Genomic DNA, 12,437 nt, shown 5'->3' with positions numbered 1-12,437 from the left:
AAGTATGTGGATTGTTCTCTCAGGGTACCCACTGGGACTCTCGCTAGTCTATTGTTTCTTGTCACTCCATACACACTAGATTCAGATTGTCTTCTTTGAGTCTCCTGGACTGTGTGTAAATCAGAGATTGTGCCTAGGCACTGGTGAATATGCCAATAAACTGCTTATACCAAAGTACCACAACCTTTCTTAAGCCCTCTCATTCACTATAAATAATTTGGGTAAGAATAACTAAATTGCTTTTAAAACAAGTGTCTTTACTTAAGTCCTCCCATTCACTATAAATAATTTGGGTAAGAATAACTGAATTGCTTTAAAAACAAGTGTTACATATAACTAGATAAGCAGCATCAGAACATGTAACTCCTCAAAAAAAAAAAACCTCTTTTTCATATTAATACCCGTCCTGATGGATTGGCCGCTTATCATTATAAAATATCATTATTTATTTCTAGTAACAATTTGTCATTAAATTTGTCTATTTTTCATATACTCAGTATAGTCATTCCAGCTCTTTTTTGGTCATTGCCTGCATATCACATCTTTTTCTATGGTTTTACAGACATACCTCAGAGATATTGCAGGCTGGGTTCCAGAACACTACAATAAAGTGAATATCGCTGTAAAACGAATCACATGAATTTTTTGTTTCCCAGTGCATGTAAGTTATGTTTACACCATACTGTAGTCTATTAAGTATGCAGTAGCATTATGTCTAAAAAATGCATACTTTAATTTAAAAATACTTTATTGCTAAAAAATGCTAACAATTATCTGAGCCTCAGTGAGTCATAATGTTTTTGCTGGTGAAAGATCTTGTCTTCATATAAATCTTTTTAGATATGTACCATATCTTAAATAGAATGAAAGTAAAACATTGTTTTTAAATACTAGCTAAATACCATTGCCTGCTTGAGCCTATTAGTCTGAAATTTTACTCTCTCTTAAAATATATTAGTTTTAACAATGTAATGAAGATATCTCAACACTAAAGACTATTCTTGACTCACCAAAAGAAATCAATTAAAAAGGAGAAAGTTCTACCCACTTAATTCAGTGTTATCTAATGCGCTACTCGAAATTCCCTGTACACAGTCCACGTTTTTCAAAATGCTCTACCAGTGAGAGCTGGCCAATTTTTCTACTCTTTTTAGAGACACATATTTTCAACATAGAAAATACTTGGGGCTCATCTCATTGAGCATAGCCAAGCAGCTAAGGATGTGGAACTACATATGGTGGTGGTTCTAAATTGGTGCCTAAACAGTCCAACAGTGTGAAACAGGGAACAACCATCACATTAAAAGGAGCACTGAGTTCTTTTAGTCACCATATATTTCTTTAGAGCAAAGTAGAAATCTTATTTGTATGTCTAGACTAATTCTTTTTTTGACATTCGAATCAGTCACTGAACAAAGTCACTCTTTTAGTTGTCACAATGGTTGATTTACAGAATGTTAGTGTTACAAAGTTTATTGGAAGACATTGAAATTGAACTTTACATTTTCTATATGAGAAAACTGAATACAGATAGGTGAAATCAATCCCTTGGGCTCTCCCTGCTACTTCATGGCAAAACCAGGCTCTAGAGCCCCGCCTAGTGGCTTTTCCTCTACACCAGTGGTTCCCCCACTGGGTTGTGCATCAGAATCACCTGAAGAGGCCAGGCCCAGTGGCTTGCATCTGTAATCCCAGCACTTTGGGAGGCTGAGGCGGGCAGATCATGAGGTCAGGAGTTCGAGACCAACCTGGCCAATATGGTGAAACCCCCATCTCTACTAAAAATACAAAAATTAGCCAGGCATGATGGGACATGCCTGTAGTCCCAGCTACTTGGGAGGCCGAGGCAGAAGAATCACTTGAACCCAGGAGGTGGAGGTTGCAGTCAGCCGAGATTGTGCCACTGCACTCCAGCTTGGGCAACAGAGTGAGACTCCATTTCAAAAAAAAAAAAAAAAATCACCTGAAGGGTCTAGCAAAAAAAAAAAATAGTGACACTTGAGCCTCATTCTAGACGAATTAAATCAGAATCTCTGGGGTGTGGGTATAGGGCATTGTACTTTTAAAAGCTCCTCAGATGATTCTAATATGAAGCCAGGGCTGAGTCGCATTTTATGCCACTCTCTTGCAGAGTAAAAATATTTACAAATATTAGCTGATGGATTCAGTTTTTTTGCCTTTGCTCTCTAAGTATTGATGCTGAAGCATCTATTGCCTTAGGGTGTGATAGAGAGAAAGCCAAGGGCAAAAAAGTCATTGTTCACCTTTGATTTTCAAAATAGACTTTAAAAAGTGTTTAGCAAAAAGAATTTGAAAGCTAGACTTTCAATGGCAAGGGCAAGGCTCTTGAGAGAGAAAAGGCTTTTCTAAATTCCAAAATCTTTCTTTCTAGTATCAAAAGTCAGAAGCTGTTGGACTCAGACGTGGAGTACAAGTGAACCACATAAGAGGAAAATATCGGGCTACGTTGAAAGAGGCATCTCCAAGTACACAGAAATGAGGGTAAAACATTAATGATGACTACTCTTTTAGAGAAAACTGGAAGCAAACAAAAGATGCGTGTCTTAGGCTGGCTACCTGATGTAGAGAAACAGAAACAATAGGAAAGAGAGAGGAGAGAGAGAGAGAGAGAGACAGAGAGAGAAAAATTTTTAAGGAATTGACTCAAGTGATCATGGAGGCTTGCAAATTCAAAATCTACAGGGTCAGTTTATAGGCTGGAGACCCAGGGCAGAGCCAATGTTGCAGTTCCAGTCCAAAGGCCAACTTCTAGAAAGATTTATTCATGTAGGAGGAAGAGGGTGCCGGGGGAGTCTTATTCCATTCAGGTCTTTAACTGATTGGATGAGGCTTACCTACATTACATAGAGCAATCTGTTTTACTCAAAGTTCACCGATTTAAATGTAACCCTCATCCAAAAAATATCCTCACAGAAACTTTCAGAATAATGTTTGATCAAATTTCTGGGTACAGTTACCCTACCAAGTTGATACATAAAATTAACCATCACACCTAGCATATGCCCAGTTGTGCTTCTGTTACCTGTGACAAATCCATACGGGTCTGCAGCAACCTCAATTCTTGCCTCCTCAGAAGAAAGAATTGAACTGAGGGGCATGAGGCAGAAGAAGAGATGGAGGCCAGTTTTACAGCAGGCGTGGAAGTTTATTAAAAAGCTTTAGAGCAAGAATGAAAAGAAAGTAAAGTACTCCAAGTAGGCATTTTGGAAGTCAAGTGTGGAATTTAACCTTTTGACTTGGAGTTTTATATGCCGGCATACTTCTAGTGTCTTGCATCCCATTTCCTTTGATTCTTCTCTTAGGGTAATCTGCCTGCATGCATGGTGGCCTGCTAGTACTTGAGAGGTGAGCATGAGCAGTGTGTTTACTGGAGTTATACACATACTCGTCTGAGGTGTTCTTCCCTCTTCCAGTGAAATGTCCCCAGAAGGTCATATACCAGTTAAACCCCACCATTTTGCCTCTTAATACACATGCTCAAGCCCACTCACACAATTCCTGAAATCTTATTGGGAAGCTGCCCATCACCAGTTACAGGCATTTTTGTCTATTGGGAAACTGCCTTGCCCTGGCTCTGGCTACAACCAATTATTATTTTAGAGAGGTAGTGTGACAATCACCTGACACCTCACCATCACCTGATGGTTGCCTGACATTCCTGGTGGAGTAGGGGGAGGCGTCTCCTGCCCCACTCATACCTGGGTAGCTACGTACTGTAACACTTCTGCCAAACCTATCTCTTACTCTCTCCTTTCTGTTGTGCCCCAGCCAAAATTCAAGGAGGAAGAATATCTGCTCGTAGATGGATTTTAGGGTCAAAATGTAAAATGATTTATAGGAGACAACTTTATATACCAGAGGGACAACATGAGGATCCACACACCCTAAAGCTTTATTTATTGTTAGAATTTTTTTTAAGTGGGAAGAGAAGCTACATATAGAATAGCACAGGATCGAAAAAGGTTACCCCAGCGTCTTGAATATTGTAGCTGCTAAATAAATGTTAGTTCCCGTGGAAAAAATATTTATCTATCAAAATATAGATATCTGTAAAAAATGAAGTTTCTGATTCATATCTAATGGTTCGCCTGCTGTTATAGCTTTTAAATCAGAGCTAGATTATGTAATGCCTTTTGTGTAGTTGGAAGAGCTTGGGAGAGTTAAGTATGGGGAAAAGCATGGGCAGAGATGAGCAGATACTATCCGTCAAAGTTTTGAGTACTAGAACAATAACGCATAATAAAATAAATTTTCTCTGTACAAATTTATGTTCTTTCACCTGTGAGTTATTTTCTGTGTTTACGCATGGTAATTTACTGAGAAAAAATGACATCAAGACTTCTTAAAATGTGTTATGGATGGATAATGATTTTAAAAGCAGAGAAAATATATGTAATCATTGAACGGGTGTCTGCTTGCAAAAAGAAGTAAATAAACATTTAAAAACAATTCATCAGAATGAGTTTTACTTCTAAAATATGGTGGACAATATACTCTGTGGATACTTAGTACAAATTCATTTGAAAGGCATCTTAGGTCTTTTACTCAGTGATCAACTGCTGTGTCTTTATTTTTATTTTAGAAAGCCAAAAAGAGAGAGACTATAATTACTCCGAATAATACAGACCAATATTCAGCTATTCATTGCATTTTATAGCTCTGTGTGACAATAAATATATGTTTATATTAGTTCCTTATTTTAATCCTTCATTTGGGCAACAAGGGATTGCTATATTATTAGCTTTTTGTGTAATGTGATCTGCATAGGGAACATCTTTTACCTATCTAAGACCATACTGGCAATAGATTGAGAATCCAGATGACTGGAATCTATGAGACTTATTCAAGATATTGCTTTGATGGTTTATAGTGGGTTTTGACTTAGGTCAAATAAGATACAATGTTCAATTTGAAACTATCAGCATATTTGTATTTCATATGTAACCACATACTCTAATATTGAGAGTAACTTGAGATTAGCATGATGTTTTAGCCACAGGACTCTGGAATACCAAAATCCTTCTCTAGAAAAATACCTCTCACAATTTTCTGGAAAGAGATAAGTGATGATGACAATGACCAGCTAAACAAAATAACACTTTATTAAAAATTGAGTCTTTGCTACTCCAAAAGCCACTGACAAAGTCTGGTAAATTGTGCTGGGATTCAACAGAACTCATGCCTAAGTGATATACAAGAGTGACCATCATCCTGTTGAGCTGACATTTAGAAAGAATCACTCCTATAGAACAAAAGCTGTATCTGCTAGCTCTGAAAGACATGGAGGCAAGGAAGCAGAAAAGAGTTTTTGCTCCATTTGCCCAGCACTGAGTTAGCCTAGACCACTTGCTGTAGACCTTCAAAGATCAAGGCAAGGTCTCCTGCTGTGCAGGAGGGTGGAAGAAAAAAAAAAGTGTGTGTGTGTGTGTGTGTGTGTGTGTGTGTGTGTGTGAAAGAGAGAGAGAGAGTCAGAGATAGACAGAAAGCTGGTACCCTTACCACTTTTCAAGTGTGGAAGAAGGAAAACTGGGGAAAGCAAAATCAAAGCCCTCTTGAAAACTCCAGCTGTAGAAAACTCAGCATGTCAGCAATCAGTGGCCAAGCAGTTCAGCTCTAGCTCCTTAGATGGAAGGAGAAGGAGAGGAAGGATAGAACTGCTGACTAGTGAACTGATTTGGTCATGGGAAGTGGGTAGAAAAGAAGCCCAGAACAACCTCAGGGCTAACATCTGTCCCATAGATAAGTTCATGATTCCATGAGATTTTTGGTTTTCACAAAGTATTTTTTCAGCCATATAATGTTTATTTCTTTAGACTCATGACATACATTTTTTTAAAGTTTTCCAGCTCCAGAAATATAATTTCAAGGAGTATACATCCAAAGTTCACTCACCTACTCAATACTTATTGAGAATAACCCTGAGGTTTTTGAGGGGTATAAAGAAGAACTAAGGTGAATCTGCCCTTGAAGAAACTTGCATTTTAGTAGTCATTGTCAAAAATAACTAGCATACAAACTATTAAGTAAAAATTGCCATAAAATATATATAGCTCAAGGACACTGAGAGCTTAGAGAAAAATGAAGATTTTTTAAGCAACAAATTTCAGTATGATTTGTATAAACTCGTATAATCAGTTTTGAAATGACCATTTAGAAATTATAAACAGAATGCATATAATACTTCTTTTGAAGAGACAAAAAAGCAGAAAGCAAATATACACCTGAATGATTCAAATATTGATGCATGTGGTCCAAAGCTCTAAAACTAATTAGATATTTGGTTTCATGATTGCAATTAGCCTTTAAAAAAATAGGCATCTATTAACATAGTTTGGCATTATAATGACAAACAATTAGTGATAATTGTTCTATTCTGGAAAGAAATAATAAATGGAAGTAGTTGGCTTCTAAATAAATTAAAAAGTAAGCTTGCTAACCTAATTTTTAAAATGTGGTATGGGGAATTTATTTTAGGAATCTTCCACTTTGGATGTACAAAGAACTTGAAGAAAATAAAATTCTTTTTCTTGCTTTGGTTATTTCTCATTAGCTTTCCCTTACCTTTCCTCCACCCTCCTAACCCCACAGACTCTTACGTTACCCATTTACATTTCCACTTGAATATTAGAGAAAATATCAGAGTATTTTCAAGAGGCTGGAAGCTGAGAAAAATTCCTTATAAGATGGAATTAATTATAATCACTTGAGAGATTTGAATAATTAGTTGAAAGTTACAGAGGGCAGATATCAGCTCAATATAAGGAAGAACTCCCTGAAGATTAGGAAGAATTAAAAACCATTTTCTTAGATGTTTCCAATACCTCAGTTTATTCAAAGGCGAATTGGAAAGTCCTTTACTGGATATTGTAGAGCTGATTGATGTAAGCATTCACTGGGACTAGTGAGGAGCTAGGCTTGTTGATATGTAAGTTTTCTTTATGAACTGAAAGGCTTTCTGTCACTGAAATTATTTTCTAACAAAGGAGTTATTCACATTATGTTTCTGTCTCAGAAAATTGAGTCCCCTACACAATTTATTCCCTGAAATTGTTTTGAACTGACCCATCCAGATAATCCTGCACCTGGTAGACATGGGACATTCAGGGGAAGAATGAACTTGGGACACAAAATTAGATATGAGATACTAAGTTGCACATGCTCATTCTTTTTATACCTATTACCTCCAGTGTATTGGAGAATAATTAAATATTTCAGAAGGGTGGATGTAACTATAAGTTTTAGGATGAGAGCTTGGTGTCATTCAGTTGAGTTAAATAGAATGTGGTCCGATGTCAGCCATCTTTGGCACTTATGCACAAAATTTCCACAAATATAGTTTGATTGTTGATAAAAATCCCTGAATTCTCCAACGCTGTACATCTTCTGGTATGCTAAAACCAAGGAGAGAGTGGCTCAGATCTCTGTGCATTATAGAAGATGCAAGAAAGTACTACAAAGGTCAAGTGAGCAGATATACTAGAAACTACAGCAATGCAATTATTGGATATGTCATTATGGGTCACCACTGATGACTGGTAGAACTACCGCCACTACAGTGAGTAGACAGATGCAACTTTGGGGTTTGATGTTATTTAGTTTATAGGTCTTCTAATCAGTCCCACTCTGGCATAGACAGATATTACCAACTTCGGCCAAACTGCTCATAGAACCTGTACAGGACATCAGATTGCAACATCAACACATATCTTCAGATTAGCATGATCTACATCTTGAGACACTTACCAGTGAGCCTAGCCTTCCTCATAGCTAAGCAACCCAGCACTTGTTATCCTTGTATAAAACCCATGATTTTCTTGTCAGTTAGCATGTTTTTGCCTGCAAGAAACAGATAACCCAACATAAAGTAGCTTAAACAATAAAATGATTTGTTGGCTGTCATAACTCTCCAATTTCCTATGCCCTTATAACGTCGATTTCCAACACTGTTGCCCTAAAGTTTTCAATATATTTCACCTAAGCTTTTTTTTTTCAACTTTTATTTTAGATTCAGGCAGTACATATACAGGTTTGTTACCTGGGTATATTAGATGATGCTGAAGTTTGAATTATTCCATCACCCAGGTGCTGAGTATAGTACCCAATAGTTAGTTTTTGAGTCCTTTTCCCCTTCTCTTCCTCCCACCTTTAGTAGTCCTCAGTGTCTCTTGTTGCCATCTTTATGTCCATGAGACCCAATGTTTAGCTCCCACTTATAACTAAGAACATGTGGTATCCATTTCACCTAAACTTTTGAAGTTGTATCCTACCCGATAATTCTGCCACTCATTAATAATTTCCTACAATAGCCATTTATTCATTCATTCAACATTTCAAGTGCCTGCTATCCTGTTCTGGGGGGAAAATACATCATTGAATGAGTTATGTTGCAGTCCCTAAATTTAAGGAGGTGTGTTAGTAGGGAGAGGGTAGGCTATGGTGCAACATCAAATGATAACAGAGGTTTACTCTCTGACTATCCATCTTTTATAGAATGACCGTGGCTCTGCTCCATGCCAGGTTTACCTCAGGACCTAGGCAGATAGGCCTTGATCGGGAAATTTGCCCACTGGTATGGCACAAGGAAAGAAAGTGTGACAAGGCACAAACTGTTTCTCAAATTTTCTGCCTGCAAGTGACCTATATCACATTCATTTACATTTCATTCCTCAAAGCAAGTTGCTTGACATAACTGACTTCAATAGTGAGGGAATCATACACCTCTTCCAAGGAAGGCACATGGATATTGGTGAAGAGTAGTGCAATCAACCATGTGACATTAAAATTTAGAGCAGAGATCAGTACTACAGCCTGCCACATCATTTTGTAAATAAAGTTTTACTGAGACACAGACACACCCATACATTTACATATTATCAATGGCTGCTTTTGCACTACAATGGCAGGGTTGAGTAGTTGTGACAGAGACCATATAGCCCAGAAAGCCTGAAATGTTTACCATCTGGTCCTTTACAGAAAATATTTTCCTACCTTGATTTAGAAAAGCAAAAAGATATAAAATAAACTGCAATATTTAATCATGCATGTCCTGTGTTTATTAGCTTTTAGCAACAATGATGATTGCTTTCTTTCTATACAGACTGCATTAGGATACAAGGCATATTTTTGAAAAAATATTGGTTTCTGGTGATAAGCAATCTTCTGGTAGCTTCAAGATTCCATCCAGCATTTTTAAGTTTGGCAAACAGGAGAATACTCTAAAGCAAAAGTTAAAAAAAAAAAAACTATATTGAACAAAAGCATTTTATTTCACTTATTCTCTTTATAAGTGAATGGACTTTGCCTATTGTTATAAGGAAGATGAATGGCTATCACTTCATTCTGTGTTGCTTATCTTTGCAGTGGAGCTAAAATAAAATATTATTCATATTAATTGACCTGATGACCTTGCCATAGCTTGCCCTTTCAGGGATCTAATAGATCTTTCAGCAGGTGGTAAATATTGATCAGAGAAATGGGACTGTCTACAATCTGTTTTTATAAGAGAATTTCATTCCAGTTTTTACAGTCTTATAAGGGAAAAAAAATCAATGAGTGGATTTAGCCAACTAACCATGAGAGAAAGAATGAGATCATGATATATATGCTCATTACAAAGTTAAAAGTTTAGAAAGAGAGAGAAAGTAAAGCAAGCCCACAATATTCAGTGATAGTTAAAGAAGAATTCTGGCTGATAAATATAAAAGAGGGAGTGGGAAATAATATTATGCTGTTATTTTTTCCTGAAAGCGAGCACTTCTAAAGCTCCTATTTCAAATTCAGGGAGTCACTTCTATGTTCAGAAACAGATCCTTCAGTTCAATCCAGTTAACAGTGGTCATGTACATAGCGGCATTAAAAAGCAGCATTTTCTTTAGAATGACAGCTTTTCTAGATCTGGGAATTCTGAGGGCTCTGGCTGGGAGAAATCTATGGCATTTGAATTTGCCTGCATGAAAGATACTGAAACCTTTTAGCAGATATGCTAAGTCAGCTAATGATGGAACTGACCTCCTTGAAAGCCCCCATTGGCTGCATGATTTTCTTAACATGAATTGCTTCCTATGCATCTCTTTAAATCCTCACAACAACTCTGTCAGATTGGTTTTTATCCCTCATTTTAAGTAACTTATTCAAAATCATAAGGCCTGTAGGTGACAAAGCAAATATTAAAATCTATGTCTTCTGGCTTCAAAATTCATACTTAGCTGGCAAGAATTTCTAGCCACTGATTTTTTTTTTAAGTTAAGCAGTAATGAACTAATATCATGTTTGACTCCTAGAGAATGATAGAGAAGTTTGCCTGTAGGTGTCCCAGAAATGGGGCCACCTTCTAACCTACTGGGATTTACATTATTAGCTCTGTCATTAAGTCCTTTCTCTTTTGAATTGTGCTGTCTTCTTATTGGTGGATCTGAAACAAAGGAGGAAGGGAAAGCAGTCACAATTCTAGGTGATAATGGTCAAGAAAAGCTTGTACTTTAAATAATTCTGAGCATGGTGTGTAAAAAGAGTCATCTGAAGCTCTGGCCCAAATCCTCAACACAGATACCCAGTGACAAAATGAAAGCTGTTATAATCTTCAAGGTGTGGATTTTTGGCTGGGTAACTGAATCCATGTTTGAATGAACTTCTGATTCCAACTTAGTTCCTTAGCATGAGTGGATGCTTAAACCTTTTCTTCATACTCTAAAATGACCCCATCATTCTATTCAATGTAACCCTGCACTACCTAAGTTAATATAACCTGGCTTTTTCTAACTTGAAAGTCAGCGTATATACACCTTGGACTCAATCCAATAGAGTTAATACTGGAAAAACAGAAGAACCTCATTATATCCCTCATTCCTACATAACTCTATACCACATCATGAATTTTGTAGACGGAATTACAGTAAGACCTCAGGGCATATCCAATTTCAGACAATTCATCTTAATACTATTATTGTAAGGCATTCTTTGAAGAGAGGCAAGTGGCTGAGTTGGGACCAAAATGCTTTATAAAACCCCACATATGAATTAACAAAACTGAAATACAATACTATTAAATTATCCTTATGACTAGGACTGTGCTTTCTTATGAATGATGTTGAAATGTCCAGCTAAACCTCCTTTGATTATAGGAAATATAATTTTAAACCTCCAAAATATTATTATGGTTAAATATTAGCTCAATATTACAGCAACTGTGCTGCTAGTTTTCACTGTTATGTGAAAGCAATTTAAGAATTTATTATCATCACAGACATGAAATTTTGCTTCCAGACTCCAGTCATAGGGCAGACAACTGGAGTAATGAGATTTATGTAACAACAGAGATTATAATTTCTATTTTGACAAATTTTCATTGTACGTCAGGCGTTGAAGAGTCTAACATCATATAGGCTTCTGGAATACAGTTGCTGTTCATGGGAAAAGAGCAGTGTGAGAAAAGAAGATGGTGAAAACTACGTCTTTTACTGAAATTGAAGTAAACAAAAGATTGTAATCATAGGATATAAATGGACCCTGGAGATGATATAACTCTTTGTTTGACAGATTCGCCTGGGAGGGGAGATGACCTCAGTCATGGGTGGAAATACAGGTTGTAGAATTCAGTTGCTTGTTTTTATCCTTTTAATTCCCCTAAGTACACTAATTAGTGGTACTGGGAATTAGCTGGAGATAAATAAGTGGGCATATTACTGGGTGCACACTTCAAGGTTTAGGTTCCATTATTATCATTAGGAATGTTCCCAGTTGTGACAAAGTAATAAAAATGGTTTCTTCTTGGCAGGTTTTTGAGCTCTTTCAAGCACTGGAGTAAATTGAATTCTTCGTATTCACTTAATGTTGCCCTTGGGGCCCAAAGAGTGAAAGTAAAACCAGAGAATAAACAATTTATAAAATTGTCACATAGAACTTAATAAAATATATATGTATGTATAATTTTTTAAAAGACATAATATCTATTAAGCATGTGGGAGAAAATGTGGAATTTGAAAGTCTAAAATTAAACAACTTTGTATAGGTAAAGTCATTACAGAAGGAGCCTAAAAATCTGCACAGTAACTATAAATTAACCAAGAGAAAAGAGTATATTAAGAAAAAATTGTTAAAAGATGAAGAAAGATTAGTTCAAAAGTCTTTAGGTGAGATCAGAAGCATGAAGTGTTCAACATAGAGTAGATTCTATAAGTATTTGCTGGGTAAATTTGAGCAAGAGAGGGACAATATTTTAAAATATAGTTAAAAGTATAATATTCAATGAAGTGCAAAAGATGACTTAGTGTGTCTGCGGCCTTACTGCTTCCTGTAATTTTGGTGGAACTCACAAGGGTTCCTCTTGAGAATAAGGGATTCCAGTGGAGTGCACCGTAAACTGGAGAATCCAGTAAGAGTCTCAATGTGGTTTTCGGCCAAGGATAAATGCTGTATCT

The 12,437-nt window shown here is 36.6% G+C and overlaps 1 pseudogene across 2 annotated transcripts in view; it reads right to left on the bottom strand.

Moving 5' to 3' along the window:
- Nucleotides 1-5,789: 5,789 nt before the first annotated feature.
- Nucleotides 5,790-12,437, bottom strand: part of LRRC77P (leucine rich repeat containing 77, pseudogene) — a 28,064-nt pseudogene continuing 21,416 nt past the window's right edge. Inside the window, exons 6-8 of one of the 2 annotated variants that reach the window (NR_033843.2) lie at nt 9,010-9,236; nt 7,765-7,857; nt 5,790-7,412 (exon numbers count right to left, since the gene is read on the bottom strand). The product of NR_033843.2 is annotated as a leucine rich repeat containing 77, pseudogene, transcript variant 1 (transcript). The remainder of the gene's footprint in view (nt 7,413-7,764; nt 7,858-9,009; nt 9,237-12,437) is intronic. The other variant, NR_145443.1, reaches the window with a different exon arrangement.

This window comes from Homo sapiens, chromosome 3, assembly GCF_000001405.40.
Source record: "Homo sapiens chromosome 3, GRCh38.p14 Primary Assembly".
NCBI lineage: Eukaryota > Metazoa > Chordata > Mammalia > Primates > Hominidae > Homo > Homo sapiens.
This window is presented reverse-complemented; position numbering and strand designations above follow the sequence as displayed.